Source organism: Homo sapiens, chromosome X (assembly GCF_000001405.40).
Source record: "Homo sapiens chromosome X, GRCh38.p14 Primary Assembly".
NCBI classification, from domain to species: domain Eukaryota; kingdom Metazoa; phylum Chordata; class Mammalia; order Primates; family Hominidae; genus Homo; species Homo sapiens.
Genome location: NC_000023.11, coordinates 10,100,344 through 10,117,105, shown reverse-complemented (window position 1 = coordinate 10,117,105; position 16,762 = coordinate 10,100,344). Strand labels below are relative to the sequence as shown.

Genomic DNA, 16,762 nt, shown 5'->3' with positions numbered 1-16,762 from the left:
GCCATCTGAGATGGCAGGGCAGCCACCCCTGCTCACCCTGTGAGCACGGAAAGGGTGGCAGAGAGCAGTGGGCAACAGCAGAGACCCGTGCCCAAGTCCCAGTCCCAGTCCTGGCTGGAACACATACTAGCCAGGTACACTTGGTCAAGCCATTCACCCCCTCTGGGCTCCCACTGGGGCTGGGGTGAGAACAGTTCCCACCTGGGGCATTGTTAGGAGGAATATCTGAGAAAATGACACATCTGAGGCCCTTGACATTGGCCATTCTTGAGCAGCCAAATCTTACTAGCTTAAAAAGTTCGTATGCTTTTAAAAAAAACCCAAAACAAAAATGCGCACGTGTATAGATGTACACTTCTGAAACTGTTAATTAGGTTACAAAATCCTTGAATACATCTGACTTCAGGCCTCTTATTTACCCTGAAGCCAAATGTGGTTCTCTCCATATTCCTTGAGTCATACAGTAGTAGCATGTTAAAAATATAATGTATCCATTCTGTGTTAACAACATTTCAGGTCAAGCTACAAGAAACGAGTTCATGTACCAGTCATTGGAACATGATGAACAAGTACAGTTTTCTCTTTGAAAGTAACCTACCTTTTTAACTGGGACTGGAGGTAGGATGTTAAGCGGGTGGCTTCTTCCAGCTGCATAAGTAGACAATTCCTTTTTTCCTGAAGCAGAATCCTGTAGGTAAGAAGACAGTCGATTAGTACATTTCAAAGACAGGGAGAATATTTTCATAACAAGACAGTCCACTATCAATTCCCTCCAGCTGAATTAGGTTGCAATCACCACCCATTCTAAAAGCACCCAGGTCACAAGGGCCAAGATCACAGAGACTGCTTTTGTCCCGTTTGAAAAATACATCCCTGGCACCCTGAGCAGTGCCTGCTACTCTGTGGAAGCGCCAGGCACAGTGCACGGGGGAGGGGATGCGTGAGAAGAGGAGTGGGCACAGGGATGGGTCAATGTGTGGGTGGGTGGCTGGATGGGTGGGTGGCTGGATGGGTGGGTGGGTGGCTGGATGGGTGGCTGGGTGGCTGGGTGGGTGGCTGGATGGGTGGCTGGGTTGGTGGATGGCTGGCTGGGTAGGTGGCTGGATGGGTGGCTGGATGGGTGGCTGGGTGGGTGGCTGGGTGGGTGGCTAGATGGCTGGCTGGGTGGGTGGCTGGGGATGGCTGCTTGGATGGATGGGAGGAGTGGTAAGTGAGCAGAAGGACAGATAACTAGCAGATGAGCTCAAACGCAGAGCACGCAGTCATCTGTTGAAATTCCTTGGAACAAATCAGATTCCCTCATACTAGGCCACCTTCTAGAGAAGAACAAATATAATTCTAAGATCTATACAGTTAAAACATTAGAAGCAAATGAAACAAAACAGCAGCCGTTGCCATCTCCAGGCCATGGGGTTGGAGGTATTTTTGTTTTCCTTCCTTCTACTTTTTTCTACTTAGTAATTTTGTAGAATAAAATTTATTCCTACTGCAGTAGGCCCACCGCCTAGAATCGAGCCTATTGTGGATAGGCACTCAATACACAGTTGTTGGACAACTCCATGAATAAATATGTTTGCCTCTAGAAGGAAACACTCCTGGTTTACAAATGGAAATGACACTGTGACGTGTGGCCACAGTAGGCCCCTTTAATACCTTCCTCTTTCCACCAACAGGGAAGGGGACATGCCGAAGGGGTTTAAAGAGCTTGGCTAGGTGGGAGTGAGAGGAAACCAGACACAGTGTCTGACAGCAGCCTGGGATTCAGAGAATCCCACCTGGCCAGTCACTCACAAGCTGTGTGGCCTTAGGCAAATGTCTCACCCTCTCTGAGCCCTTAGTTTCATTACCTGTAAAAATGGAGTCCACAATCTCCAGCTCAGGGAACTGATGCTGCATAGATAAAATAATGTACGGCAGATGACACGTGATTGACAAAGAGCTGCTATCACCCATAAAGGAAACAGATGCGCCACCAACTTAGGATAAGGAAGACAAACCAGTCTGAGTTTGTTTACAAGTTTCAACCACATGCCATAAATTCTGATGAGCCTTTGTTTCTCTTGATGCAAACAAAATTCCAAATGGTGCCATGCAGAGGTCAGCTGGCAAGAGAGTAACAAGCATCGTCCTAAATGGAGCCACGACACAACCCACTTTCAAGTTCAATATCATATATTGAAACCAATGGTTTCCAAAGCATGATCCAAAGACCCCTGGCGGATCCCCAAAACTCCTTCAGGGGTCCTATGAGGTCCCCTCCTTCCCAATGGCATATCGGTAAGCAGCTAGATGGTCTTCACGTGTTCACTCAAAATGACCCTATCTCAACAGGCCGAATGCACCAATGGCCAAAGCAGCTGCCTTCTAGCAAGCCAGACGCTAAAGAGATGGATAGCAAGGGCAAATAATACCACTCTTCTCACTATAGTTTTTTGTTTCAAAAAAGTTATCAGTCATAAAAATGTTACTAATATTAACACATAATAGGGTTTGTATTGTCTTTTTTTATTTATTGAGATGGGGCCTTGCTCTGTTGTGCAGGCTGGAGTGCAGTGGTGCGATCAGAGCTCACTGCCACCTCCACCTCCCGGGCTCAAGCCATCCTCCCACCTCAGGCTCCCAAGTAGCTGGGACCACAGGCATGTGCCACCATACCCAGCTAACTTTTGTATTTTTTGTAAAGATGAGGTTTTGTCATGTTGCCTAGGCTGGTCTCTAACTCCTGAACTAAAGTAATCCTCCTGCCTTGGCCTCCCAAAGTGCTGGGATTACAGGCATGAGCCACTGTGCCCGGCCTATTGTTATCTTTAATAAATAAATATTTTAAAAATTTCCCAGCGCTAACTTCTAAATTAGCAAATACTGACAGATAAAAATCCACATAAACACTGATAGGTCCCTGGGTGGGGAAAAATGAAAAACAAAACAAAACAGTTAGAAAAAAGAACTTTAAAAAAACCAACACAAACAAAAGCTCTTTGGGATCCTCAGCATTTTAACATCGGAAGGAGGTTCTGAGACCAAAATGTTTGAGAACAGCTGTAATAAACTCTTGAGTAGAATGTTCTAAGATTCCACTTACCTATGATATTTTAATTTTTAAGGAAAATGTTTTGATAGCTTGTACAAATGAAAGTAACGTTTAAAAAGCAATTCTGGGGCCGGGCGCGGTGGCTCACGCCTGTAATCCCAGCACTTTGGGAGGCCGAGGCGGGCGGATCACGAGGTCAGGAGATCGAGACCATCCTGGTTAACACGGTGAAACCCCGTCTCTACTAAAAATACAAAAAATTAGCCGGGCGTGGTGGCGGGCACCTGTAGTCCCAGCTACTCGGGAGGCTGAGGCAGGAGAATGGCGTGAACCCGGGAGTCGGGAGTCGGAGCTTGCAGTGAGCCAAGATCGTGCCACTGCACTCCAGCCTGGGCGACAGAGCGAGACTCCATCTCAAAAAAAAAAAGTTCCACTGAGGGGCTTATAGAAAGGCACACTGCTTTCTATGCACTGCCTCATTCCTTACTGGTCTTTGGATTCTATTCCTGCTTTACAGATGAAGAAACTCATATAAAGTAGCTTGCGTCTGCTACGCAAGCTCAAAGTTCGGTCAGGCTGGATTGACCCTAAAGCCAAGGCACACTACCAACAAACAGGCATTTCCTTTACTACTGAAAAACATTTCCCCAATTTTCTGTGATACTCACATCCTATCTGACGCTTATCAAGGGCGATATCCTCAAAAACCCCATCTTTTTCAGAAGATGGAGAGCCGAGAGTTTTCAAAGGGAGTTTAAAAGTGAGTTCAAAATACATCCTTCATTGAGCTTTGGAGCTGTAACTTGGAACCCACTCTCACAAGCACCGGGACACTATTAAGTCACAGAGGACTCCAGGGGCAGAGACGACACCAGCAGAGCGTATCCAGTGGCAAACAGTGACCAGCTCCAAGAAGCCATTTGTTGTAGGGAATTTACCCAAGCCCGGTCCAAGGCTACTAACTTTTTTCTTAATGCTTTTCAGAAATTCTAACCCAACCTGAATTCTATTAGCTCAAATCCCAAATTAATAGAATCTAAATTGAGTTCCTACTGAAAACTGGCTCCACTCTTGAGTGACCAGGGTAGAATTTCCAACCCATCGCTAAATCCGTCAGCGCATTCCAGCTCTGTTTTCACACATATGACATATAGATACATTCATATGTACGGCTCGGTTTTAGACTGTCTTTAGTCATGACTTATTTTCAGATTGTTTTATCTGTAGTGAAAAAAGTTTTAGATCAAATTCCCCCCTTCTATCCAATACAACACATTTGTCATTATACAAACAGGTGCATTTCGGAGCGCACAAGAGACAGCGCATCTGGATACAAGATCACACACAAGTGCCCATGACTGCCCACATTTGCAGTCTAATTTTATGCTGGTTATTCTGAAAGTTGCAGATGACTAAAAATGTAACTTCCTTACCAAACAGGGGCCACGCTGGCAATAACTGAGACATCTAAAAAACTGGCTGGAACATAAACTGCTAAAATAAGAGTCTTAGACATTTGCCTGACTTCTGTACTTATTTTTTCAACAAAAAGAAAAGGGGATACAGTTTCCTGGCAGAAAACTGGCCAGGGCCCAACTCCTAAAGCACATAGCCTTGTGTCTCCAATTCAAATGAAACGAACTTCAAAGAATATTTACCACTGCTATGAAAAGGAGTAGAAAAGTAAGCTAACAGATTAAGAAAATATAAAGTCTAATTTACTGTCTTTATTTACTTTACATAAAGTACTTTATTGTAAAGATGTCATTAAATTATGACAAAGGAAAACATGACTTCAGGTTCAGCAGAACAAAATTTTTGCTTTTTGATAGATCTTTCATTTTATAATCACCCCTATAATAAAAGCAGTCATCCTTGGAAAGAGAATTTCTCAGGATGGCAGGCATCTTGTAATAGAGCCGTGGGGTTCTCTGTTGAACATCAGCATCTTGTATAAATGCCTGCCACACACTAACATGAGCAAGCTAAAATAGCAAAGGATGTTGCAAGCGTTGACACGAGCCATCCGAGAGATTATCTAGGGTATGTGTCCTTCACCTCAAGCCTGCTCCCTCAGCCCAGGAGACGTGCACCAGCTCCCTCCAGAGATGCTGGCTCTGAGCAGCTGGGAGGCCGCCGCACGTATCATCTGCCGGGGCGGGAGGCCTGAAGGAGGTGCGCATCTCTCTCTTTCTCCCCCGGATGACACCCCCAGCCCGGCAAACGCCTCCCATTTGCTGCTGATGACACTGCAGGTGAGACAGGCAGACTGGGCCCAGCTCTACAGCTGGCACGGCTCAGCCTTAAGGCACCAACCTCACTCTCTCTCTGCACCTGGCCCACGCCGGGTCTCCTAATGCTGCCAGCCTGTGCTGGGGGAAGCCTCCTACCATGTGGCCTCATACTTGCAAACTGCAAACACCCCTCCAATGAAGGGAGGTGGAGTGGAGAAATGGGCCCTGCGTGTACCGGCACAGAAAGCCCAGAGCTACAAGAGCCCCACCCCCATGCGATGTGCGTGCAAGTGCTTAGCACATGTGGATGTGCTTTTCCGGCCAAGGTCATTTAGCAGCAGATTCAGGAAACACGCTTGGGGCGATTAGGTCCTGGTCGAGGGCTCTGAGTCCCAGGACTCAGCACCTGGGCTGGTCTCACGAGAGACCCCCATGGGAGTCAAAGCTGGTCCGGCTTTGCTGTCCCCACCCTTGAACCCAGGCATCGGGGCTAACACTGGCTCCATGGAGGGCTGCAGACTTGTACTCAGGGGCCACAGCACTCGTGTGTGCTGGATTTCCACATGGTGACAGCAGCCACAGTCAAAGGAGCGTGGGTGTGGGGCCCTGAGATGCAGGCGACATTTGTGGGGCCAAGTCCTCCCCCCTTCACAGAGAAGCAACAGGAACTCCCAGGCCCTCCTACGCAGAACACACATACAAGAATACCAGGGGTGGAACAGAAGGAAATGTTTAGCTGAAAACAAACGCAGCCGTGCAAGAGCTCTTTCACATTCAGATTCTCCTCGCGGTTGATTCCGGGTGAGGTGACAGGGCATGCCACCATCTCAGGCAAAATGAAATTCACCTGCCTAGGACTCTGAGCTCAACTCTCCAAACACCACCGCTTCCCTGAGGCTGCCGTGAGCCCCTCGTGCCAAGCCACAGACTTGTCTCCTATGAAGATGACCCATGAACATCAAGCATAAAGGACGCCCAACAATACAACCATCGTGAAACAGTAGGAGTAAGAGCATCTGAACAGATCGAATCATCCAAGCATCTATTAGAGTCTCTGTAGAGCTGCTCATGTGAGCTCAAGGGGGCAAGACTTTAACACGTGGGGGAGGGGCTGCTCTCCAAAAGCCCAGCTGATAGCCACAGAGAAACTGCTGTTAAGTGTGGAAGGCAGGCCCAGCCTTTGACACAATCTGCAGTCTCACACAGCAAATGGAAACCAGGACACACGGCACACGAGGAAAGGCTGAACGACTCAGTGCCACCGAATACCAAAGCCACTATGCTGGCTTTGCATGTCCTGCGTGGTGAAGGAGCCTCAGGACAGACGCACGACAGGTGGCCAGCTTCCCAATGCCAGAGAAGAGCAGGCTCTCCTGGCTAGAAATCAAAGTTGGAGAGGAAAGCAGTAGGTGGATACCCACCATGCTCACCACGTCAGGAACAGGGAATTCTTCCCCCATGCAACAGAGCTGCCCGGGCCGGAGCGGGACCACAGCCTGCTCAGGGCACTGTCCCACAAAGGCAGGTGGAAGCACCAAGCACCAACTTCAGGAAGGGTGGGGCGTGGGCGGAGATGGAGGTCACCCATCTTCCCTCACTCCTTCCCCCTTGTCAATCACCTCCTGCTTCGGAGCAGAGGCTCCAGAGACCCAGGGAGCAGAAGGCAGTGCCCCCCACCGCATGCCCCTCCTAGGCCAGGGAACATCCAGGCAGGAGAGGCTCTGAGTGATCATCAGGAACACCCTCCAGCCACACACAAGCCACCCCGTGGAGTTTTTCCAGCAGGCTTTCCGCTGGAGGTCGTGTCCCCGCTGACCCACCTCTCCGTGGCGCCCTGTGCGGAGGTGGCCCGTGCACGCCGCAGCTCCTCCTCTAGGCGCTCCCGCTCCTCCTCCAGCCGGGCCACATCTCCCGCAGAGCGGCGCTGTGCAATGATGAGCTGAAGCTCCTGCAGCAGGGCCTCCTTCTCCTTGATGAGCTGCAGCCGGTCCCTGTCAGCCTCGGCCGTGCTTGGCCAGGACTCATTGTCAAGCCGGGCCAGCTGCTGCTGGATGTTGGCGACTCTGCAAGAGAGACGGGGAGGAAAAAAGGACATCGGCGGACTGAAAACGCCGTCTTCACACCTTCTCCACGTCTCACACTGATTCTATAAACTCCTTTTGCCAAATAAGTAGTGAAATGATTACACCAAGTGACCCTTACACTTAAAAGGATATGGAAACAATGTCCTAAAAAATGGTGCAGAAGTCTTTTCCTGAAGCTCCCTTAGCCTGAGATTCGAGATGAAAATAACCCCATCGTGCCTGTTCCGAAGAACTGACAAAAAGGCCAGCAGCCCTCAACATGCCCATACTCGGCGGCTCAGACTCCTGGTTTCCTACATGAAACTGTCCCAGAGCAGGAGGGAGTCTGCTTGTTTCTTCTGCCCACCCTCATCAGTAGCTAAACAGCATGCTGGACCCCCAGAAGTGCTGCCGGCCTCCCGCCTCCTCAGCTGTGTCTAACCACTGTCAGCCGCTTTAGCAAAATAACAAAGGAGAAATGCACTCATCATCTGGCGTCCTGAAGGAAAGACCTTCGAAGCCCCATGCTCCGCGTCTTCTGGTTCTGTGTGCTCCTTCCTGCACCAGAGCCCCTGGCCATACATGAATTCAAAACACCTTGCGGAGAGCAAGTGGGCACTCGACAAAAGCTGAGTGCATTGAACAGTGAACAAACACGCCTGCAAATATGTGAGAGGAAGAGAGGCAGCCCTGTGAGCATGGATGCTGGTGAGAGATGATCTGGGTGGATGCAAAGCGCAACAATCCTCAAGGTGGAAAAACAGAGGCTCCTATCAGTTTCCATGCCTCGAAATTTCCAAGTGCTTGCTTGGCAAACAGACTGCATTACTTTTTGTGTCATGAGGTGCTGTTGAATGCAGATTAAGTGAAACAGATGTGGCCTGTATTTTTAAAGCATCCTTTAAAAGTAAGAGTAGAATGTTTTAAGCCCTTTAAGTAGGGTTAAAGATCAGGGATATGTTTCTAGGGAGAAACTAGGAATGGCAAACTCAACCTGAACCCCATGCTGTGGAGGACATAGTTGGCATACTCGCCCAAAAACAAAATCCAGAGGCTTCTCTGAGATCACAAAGAGCTGTGAGAACAGGGAAGTGGCAGGCACACGTGGCCCTATATCCTCCGAGGGAGATGCAGGGCAGAGGTGCTCCTGAGACTGCCTCCTCCTGTGCCCGCGGTCCACGGCACTAACCAAGGCTGGCTTCCCACCTGCTGGGTCTAGACCTCAGAAGCCTTCTCTACACTATGAGCCATGTGGATATCCCCAATTGACTAGCATTGCCACACATGTTAAAACCTGCCACCCAGCCTTGTGCCAAGTCAGGCTCCACCTAAACTAGACACGAGCACATGGACTCATGAGGATCGGGCATGACTCCCTCTCTAGCCACCAAACGAATCTGAAAGCCCACAGTTAAGGAAAGAAACGGGTACACAAGTTACAGTTTAAATGTATGCATTTTACTCAAGTCCACTTCAACAAGGTAAAGACACTAGTTGAATGTCAGTAGCTTTATTAGACAAGTTATTTTCTAACTTAAAACTAATGTCTGGAAAACGTGTTGGAAGATGGTGCCAAACCATGTCACCAGAAAAACTAATGACAGAGGCAGCTGAACAGGGCTAGGACTCCAACTGGGCTTAAGCATCCACCTACGTCTAATTAGTGTAATTAAAATTTATGGCAGTCATATATCCAAAGCCCAAGGAAAATACACTCCAAGCAAACCCACAAATAAGTCAGTGCTAAATCAGACATTATACCCAATGACATTTCTGGAACATTCTACAGTAGACCAAGACAAGTTAAGAAATAAATATAAAAGATGAAGAACAATCAGCAAATCTGTGTCCTCATACTTTTTTTCATTTCCATTTATCTGATCCACAGGAAAGTCTGAGCCCAGCTAAATTTTGCCCGACCATTTTATACTCATACTAATTACCATACATATAATATAAACAGAAGTATTTTACAGAACACTCCTTTTGAGTTTTCTGAGCCTTAAATATGAAGAGATCAAGATTCCATTTGAGTCTGCCAGCTCTAGGTTAGCTGCTAGCCTACAAGGATTCAAGCTGTTGAAGGTGGCGGAAGATCCAATTCCAGATAATCACAACCTTTCCAGGAAAATCTCAAGTAATATGCACTGTCAGGAAAAAAAGAATGAGGAAAAAAATGAATTATAGGAGGGAGGAGAGGCAAAGGGTGAGTTTCAAAAGACCTGTCTGCTGCAGGCATAAAGAAACAGAACAGCAGCCCAAATTAAACCATGTCCTGTCACTTCCCACAGCTGGCAGGAAAAATATGCAAGGACAAACGGCAAGGGACGACCTCTCCAGCAGAAACAAAATCTGCAACCCATCTGGAAATGTTTGGGCTGTGCTGAATGCTAGGCAAACATTTCTGTGCCTTCCAATTGTGGGGTTTAATAATAAAATTTCAAAACAATGCAACAATGCAAACAATCTCATCTTCATTTCAGAGCTATATATGAATCTAGAAGAAACTGGAACATATTGAAAAGTTCAATTTCTTTCTTTGTCCCCATGTTCTAGGTGTGAACATTTGGGGCCTGCTTCAGCAAGGTCGAGAGAGGCACATCTGTCTGTCTGTCTGTACTGGAAGCCAAAAGCACTAGGATTCCTTCAACAATCGATTGTTCTTATGTCCCCATGAGACAGACAAGACGGCTTTGCCTTTAAAACCGTATGACTTGTCTACCTTGCCGTGGGCCGGAAACGAGCCATCTGCAGGGAGTATCTTTAGTACGTTAGGTTTACTTGAAGAAACAGACTTCCTGCCTAAGGCTAAACACAGATGTACTGAGTTTCAATGCACCTTCTTCTACATCCACGCCAAACAGCTGATCCACTGGTTGGAGCCTCGCTCCTGTGAGTGCTGTTGTTCCAATTTTGGGTATTAAAGGAAAAACAATTTCCAGAAAGGCTTTTCTTTGAAATATCATTTCAGTGAAATTAAATACATGGAAGTAAAGCAAGGTCATGGTTAAAGTTTGCAAAACAAAATAACTTTCCCGAGTTTTTTGTAAAGAGAACTAATAGCAGCTTAAAATTAGAGAGGATTTTTTTTTTTTTCTGTGAGCCAACTATATTCTTCAGTGATTTTTATTTTTGAGGGGTAATGCATTTTATGGCCTATATAAAATCTCTCCCAAATGCCTTTAAAAGCCTTAAAATATATGCCCCCGTGTCCTGATAGTGAAGAAAGCAAATGTTCAATCAAGCATGCAGGTTTCTTATTTATTATGTGTTTCCCAAATTCTATTCCCTGAGCAGGTCTAATGTAGACAGACATAAAATATGAATCATTTTTCCCTTATGATTTTTGCTCAAACACTTTTCTGTTACAACCCAGGCACCATTAAACCATGCATTTATGCCGCAGAAACTATTTAGACTCTCACAATTCACATGAAAATCTTAAATACGATTTGCATTTTTATAGGAAAACAATGCACTTTCAATAATAAAAAGTTCTGAGGCATATCAAGAATAATCCCTAATTATTTGAATTTATACCAAAAATCTGCAGTCTACAATATCATTTCTCATGGTCCTAAAATCCTGCTGCTTTCTGGAATAGCAAGCAGAACTCTGGACAGCCCACGGTCCTATCCCATGGTGATGAGTCGTGAGGGATCCCAATGGCACATTCCAGGACGCGGGGTCAGCTTAGAGCCTCATACCTTCAGATTGCAATTACGGCTACAGGTTCGATACTCCTTACATTTTCTCTTAGTTTTCTTGTTGTAAATACCCATTTAAATAAAAAGCAAAGGTTAAAGAAAACAGCTGAGATGTAAGTCAGATGGACAATGAAATCACTTCAGCTGATTGAACTAAACCAGCGTCCATTCTACTCAACTCTTTATGTCAGAAGTTTGAGAAGTCTGAATCTAGAATATGTGGGATAAGAAAGGTCTACTAATACACCAATATCTCACCCCGTCCTCAGCTTCCCAGCCCTGACATCTTCTCCCTTTGCAACAGACAGATCTTCAGAGAGCAACTTCATCAAATAAAAAGCAGTGAGTCTACAGGCTTCTCCGTGTTGACCAGAATAGGGAAGACAGAGCCACAGTGGCAAAGATGCTTTTCCTTATTTCTCACAACTGTGCCCCACCCCTAAAACCCAGATAGGAAGTCATTTGAGAAATGAAAAAATCCAAGTGATTGATCAAATTCAACTGGAATCATAACACTACACTGATCCTCGACAACTGATGAACAGCAGGACTGATCCTGGCAACAAAAACTAAGAGGCAGAGAAACTGGATGGACCGAATGTTTTGTTCCTATCTGGACTGAGAGTGTTTCTATGGTAACAGCTACAGTTTGTGCACAGTTCTGGAACAAGCGCCCTTAAGTTAAAAATAAGGAGCCATCTGCGTCATCGGGATTGCTTCAAGAAGACTTGCTCTTTCAACTTCACTTTTAAAATTTCTGAAATTTTAAAATCAATAGTGTGAATATTCCTATCATTAGGTCTGCCTTGGGAATCCGAAGAGGCGCTCCTGAGGCAAGGTGCAAGCAGTCCTTTTGGTACGCTTCACAGGACCCACAGTTAAAAACACAAAACTAGTCATCATGATAGTGGTCGTTTGGCCAGAGAATTCTCTAGAAATCACATCACCACTCAGAATTATGAGTTCCACTTCCACAAACTTCCTTTAAATCTGAATATATATGAAATCCAGCTGAGTGGGGTGGCTCACACCTGTAATCCCAGTACTTTGGAAGGCTGAGGTGGGTGGATCACTTGAGGTCAGGAGTTCGAGACCAGCCTTGGCCAACATGGTGAAACCCCGTCTCTACTAAAAATACAAAAATTAGCCAGGCATGGTGGCACGTGCCTGTAATCCCAGCTACTCAGGAGGCTGAGACACAAGAATCGCTTAAACCCAGGAGGCAGAGGTTGTAGTGAGTCAAGATCACGCCACTGTACTCCAGCACTCCAGCACTCCAGCACTCCAGCCTGGGTGACAGAGCGAGACCCTGTCTTCAAAAAAAAAAAAAAAAAAAGGAAAGAAAAAAAATCTGAATGTATATATATATATGAAATCCCTCATTGTCCAGAATTCGGCATTTTTGACAATTTCCCACATCTTAAAAATAATCTCAAATATATATGTGCAAGGAAAGACGTCCAAAATGCCTAAGGCATAAAATCCTCCACTGTTCAGAAGTGGCAAAGCACAGGAGGTTCTGCAGAGGATATACATGATGGTTTACTTTGTGTGTCAACTTGCCTGGGCTAAAGCTTGCCCAGATAGCTGGTACAAACATTATCTCTGAGTGTGTCTGGGAAGGAATTTCTGGAAGAGATAAGCATTTGAATCAGTGGACTGAGCAAAGAAGATCCACCCTCACCAATGTGGGTGGGCACCATCCAATTCATTGAGGGACTGAATAGAGCAAAAGGGTGGAGGAAGGGTGAATTCTGTCTGTCTTCTTGAGCTGGGACATCCACCTTCTGCCCTCAGACACCAAAGCTCCTGGTTCTCAGGCCTTCAGACTCTGGGACTTACACTATGACCACCCACCCACCCACCCCACTCCACACCCCACCCCACCCCCAGTTCTCAGGCCTTCAGACTTGGACTGAATGAGACCACTGGCTTTCCTGGGTCTCCGGCTTGCAGATGGTGGGACTTCCTGGCCTCCATAATTGCGTGAGCCAATTCCTATAATAAAATAATCTCTCTCCCTTCTCTTCCCTACCCCTACTCTTGTTGGTTCTGTTTCTCTGCAGAACCTAATACAGTAGGGAAGGTAAGCTTGCAGGGTGAAATGATTTCAGGAATGAGAGCTGGGAGATTAATGTCCAACGGCGAAGTAGCAGAACGAAAAGACGACACTGAATTGTGGCACTAATCTAATAGAAGTTCACCTGGGCAAGAGGAAAGGGCACATGATGTCCCTTAGGCTTGGAATGAGGGAGCAGGGAAGAACGCATTATTCTTTGCTAACACTGCCACTAAGAGCAACGTGTTCTTTTTCATGCTTTGGTGGGTTGATGGGGGTACATGATGCCTTCCTGCTCATGGCACACCACTTCTCCAGGGACGCTCACAGGGATATCAGAGACATTATCTCCCAGCCTGATCAAGGGGGCCGAGGAAGAGACCATGGACGGGACCTCAAAGCCACCATGCTTTGCCTGTGGTACTCAGCACCTGGCTCCTGGAATGTTAATGTTGAGTTCTTGCCAGAGAACCACTTGCCACTGCTCTCTCCCCAAGTCTGTATCGTTCTACTCTCGTGCCTCACTTAGAGGCAGTCCATCAGAACACTCGGAAAACACCATTGTAATGAAATCGCTCATCTGGTGCTGGGGAGACCTGATAACATCAACCCTTCCTAGCCTTCCATCTGTCTACAGGGATGGGGCAGAGGGGAGCCAAGACTATCCTGACAACGCTACAAGGTATGTAAAGTCTAGGGCCTTGCCCAGGCTGCTAAGGGTTATGTGACCTACAGCTGAGTAGTTCACATGGCAGGCATGCACTTACTGGTCAAGCCTTAGCTACAGTAACCAATGTGGAATGACTGGAGGCAGAAACAATCACACCAAGGGGACTGGAGACGTGCACCGCCGCATCTGGGAACCAGAGCCCGGAGGGAGCTGCAATCAATGACTCAGCGAACTGCAATCTCCACTGCGGACTCCACCGACAAGAACACTTCATGGATGTTTCTCAGCAGCTTCAAGTCCACTGAAAACACCAAACTCATGGTCAAAACCAAGATCTGCCTTTCAAATGACCCTCCACTTTACTGTGAGCCTCTGGAAACCCTGTTTAGGGTCATCCTTCTCCTTTAATTCCAGGGAGAGCACCATCTCAGTCACACTTCCCCCAGGCCAGTCCAATTTAAGAAAGGGGATGTGCTGATGGCAACAATTTAGGACTGCCAGCTTGTTATTTTGCCAAGTAAAGACTTTTGGAAAAAACCAATTCACATCAATGATCATCATTAGTTAATTAAGAGAAAGATGTTTTAACAGAAAAAAATATATATGAAAAAATGTATATTAAACACGTATTATAAATATAATATATAAAAATATACAATAAATATGTATTAAATATATATAAAACATATATTAATTATATATATTTATATGTATGTATGTACATATGTATGTATCTCTGAGAATGAGAGGCTTCTTTGACTGGAAAGCAGCGAGTTGGCTTTAGGAACACCTGCCGCTGGCCCTCCTTTTTCCCATGCACTGTGGACTAAGGACACCTCAGGCTGGGCTTGGGAAGCAGAGGCCTGCCTGTCGGCCAACGGTACCACCCCCTTTTCGTTCCTTCACAGCCACTGGGCCCGTGGACATAAGTGTCTTCTCAGGTGTACTTCCTCTTCTTGTTTCCTCCAGCCCCAGCCATCCCCTCTCGGACCTTTTACTACACCCCTCTGGCCAGTCTCGTCCTCGCCAGGCCTTTGATTGGACTTCCTCAGGCTCAGTCCTGGCATCTCCTCTTTTCTCCCTGTGTTCCATCTCCCAAGGTGAGCCCAGCTGCTCGGTGACTTCATCTCTATGCCATCTGGGTTCCTCAAATGGCCCTCCTCCACATACCACCATCTGAATGGCTCACACTTAATCTTTCCAACTCAAACGTCCCAGCATGCCCAGCAATTCTGACCCCTCTTCGGGGCATCGTGGCCCCCATGCCGTGGCCTGCCTCCCTGCTCATGCATCCTCCATTCCAGCCTGGCTGGCCTTTGCTCTGCAATTCCAGGCCAGTCCAGCTGCTGCAGAGTGACACCTTACCCCCACTCCTGACCCCCACTCTTACCTGAGAAAGCCCATCCCCAATGGACGGCGACTGGAATCCCAGCACTCCTTCAGGACCCAACTCCAATGCCATTTTCTCCAACCCCCAAGGAGAGGATTAATTATGGAGTTCAAAGGCTAGTAGCCCTTTTGAATGTCCATGAAGGCCCAGAACTGTTAGTCTAGCTCGGTGTGTTGACGTATCACACCTTGAACATAGTCCTTGAAAGGGAGAGACAGTTCCTTGCCTACCTCAGATCCCTAAAGGCACCCATGTCTTGAAGCCCTTTCCCTTCTCAAGTCAAGGCGAGAGACCCCAAGGCTCACACCTGGATGGAGGTTTGAGGAAGGGACCCAGGAGCAGAGCAGTTGGCCTGGAGCTGACCTGGCCCCGGGACTGCCCTGGCTTGCCCCGTCCCAGGGGCAAAGGCCAAATAGCAAATGCAACCACACGGGACCCTCATTTACTCATTCAATAAATATTCACCAAGTATGTAGCTGCTGGGCTTACAGCAATGACCTACAATCCCTGCACTCATGAGGGTTATTTACATTTTCACAGGGAGAGACAGGCAGTAAGAAAAGTAAACACTGGTTAGGTAATAACATTTGCTCAGCCAATCAGGGGGACCGGGGTGAGGACAGGGTGGTGAGGTTTTATTCAGGATGGTCAAGGAAACCTCTCTTAACAAGGTGATCAAAAGGAGAGGTCATGTGACAATTTGGAGAAAAGCCACCCCATTCCAGACAGAGAAGACAGAACAGGCCAAGGGCACTGTATGAGTTTGCTCTTTTCTGCCCCAAATTACCACAAGCTTAATGGCTTAAAGCAACACCTATTATTCCCTTACAGTTCTAGAGGGCAGAAGTCGAAAATGGGTCTACAGGGCTGCGTTCTTTCTGGAGGTTCCAGGGGAAAATCTGTTTCTTTGCACCTTCCAGCTTCTAGGGGCTGCCCGTGCTCCTTGGCTCCTGGCCCCACACTATTCTGATCTCTGATTCCAACCTCACATCTCCTTCTCTACTGCCGACCGTCCTGTCTCTCTCTTATGAGGACTCTTGTGATGACACTGAGCCCACCTGGATCATATAGGCTCATTTCCCCATCATCTCAGGATCCCTAATTTAATTACATCCACGAAGTCCCTTTTGCCATGGAAAGCCACATCTTCACAGGCTGTGGAGATCAGGATGCAGACACCTTGACGGACCATCATTCTGCCAGCTGCAGATGCTAGGTCAGGAGTTGGCTCGGTGGGACTGAGGCCCGGTGGGAGGCCCGAGGGGCTGCTCAGTGCAGGCGTGCTTGTACATCTGAGGAACATCGAGGGGCCGATTGGCTGGAGCAGGGTGAGTGGGGAGCAGGCTGATGCCTGTGAGTCAGCAGGCGACCTGCTCATGTAGGCCCCTTGTTGTCCATGCATCGTGAAGATTCAGGAGCAAGACAGGAAGAAGCCCCAGGGCGAGGTTTCTGGACCTTGGCACCGCGGCCATGCTGAGCCGGGTAAGTCTTTGCTGCGGGGGCCATCCTGTACACAACAGGATGTCAAGCAGCCTCCCTGGCCCCTGCCCTAGAGTTGGGACACCTAAACATGTCTGCAGACACTGCTGGAGGTCTCCTGGAGGGTGA

General features: G+C 47.4%; 1 protein-coding gene across 1 annotated transcript in view, besides 4 other annotated features; it reads right to left on the bottom strand.

The window, feature by feature from the left end:
* Positions 1-16,762, bottom strand: part of WWC3 (WWC family member 3) — a 129,221-nt gene that overhangs the window by 27,369 nt on the left and 85,090 nt on the right. Inside the window, 2 exon segments of the mRNA NM_015691.5 lie at positions 599-688; positions 7,086-7,328. Coding sequence (NP_056506.3) covers positions 599-688; positions 7,086-7,328 — 333 coding nt within the window.
* Positions 6,138-6,317: an enhancer, noted in NCBI's record as "active region_29408". NCBI's record gives its function as "activates an Ori minimal core promoter by ATAC-STARR-seq in GM12878 lymphoblastoid cells {active_cell/tissue: GM12878}" and the evidence as "EXISTENCE:reporter gene assay evidence [ECO:0000049][PMID:35858748]".
* Positions 6,138-6,969: a biological region, named in NCBI's record as "H3K4me1 hESC enhancer GRCh37_chrX:10078177-10078894".
* Positions 6,252-6,969: an enhancer, noted in NCBI's record as "H3K4me1 hESC enhancer chrX:10078177-10078894 (GRCh37/hg19 assembly coordinates)". NCBI's record gives its function as "activates a minimal SCP1, AML or CMV promoter by ChIP-STARR-seq in primed H9 embryonic stem cells {active_cell/tissue: H9 hESC(primed)}" and the evidence as "EXISTENCE:reporter gene assay evidence [ECO:0000049][PMID:30033119]".
* Positions 6,970-7,687: an enhancer, noted in NCBI's record as "H3K4me1 hESC enhancer chrX:10077459-10078176 (GRCh37/hg19 assembly coordinates)". NCBI's record gives its function as "activates a minimal SCP1, AML or CMV promoter by ChIP-STARR-seq in primed H9 embryonic stem cells {active_cell/tissue: H9 hESC(primed)}" and the evidence as "EXISTENCE:reporter gene assay evidence [ECO:0000049][PMID:30033119]".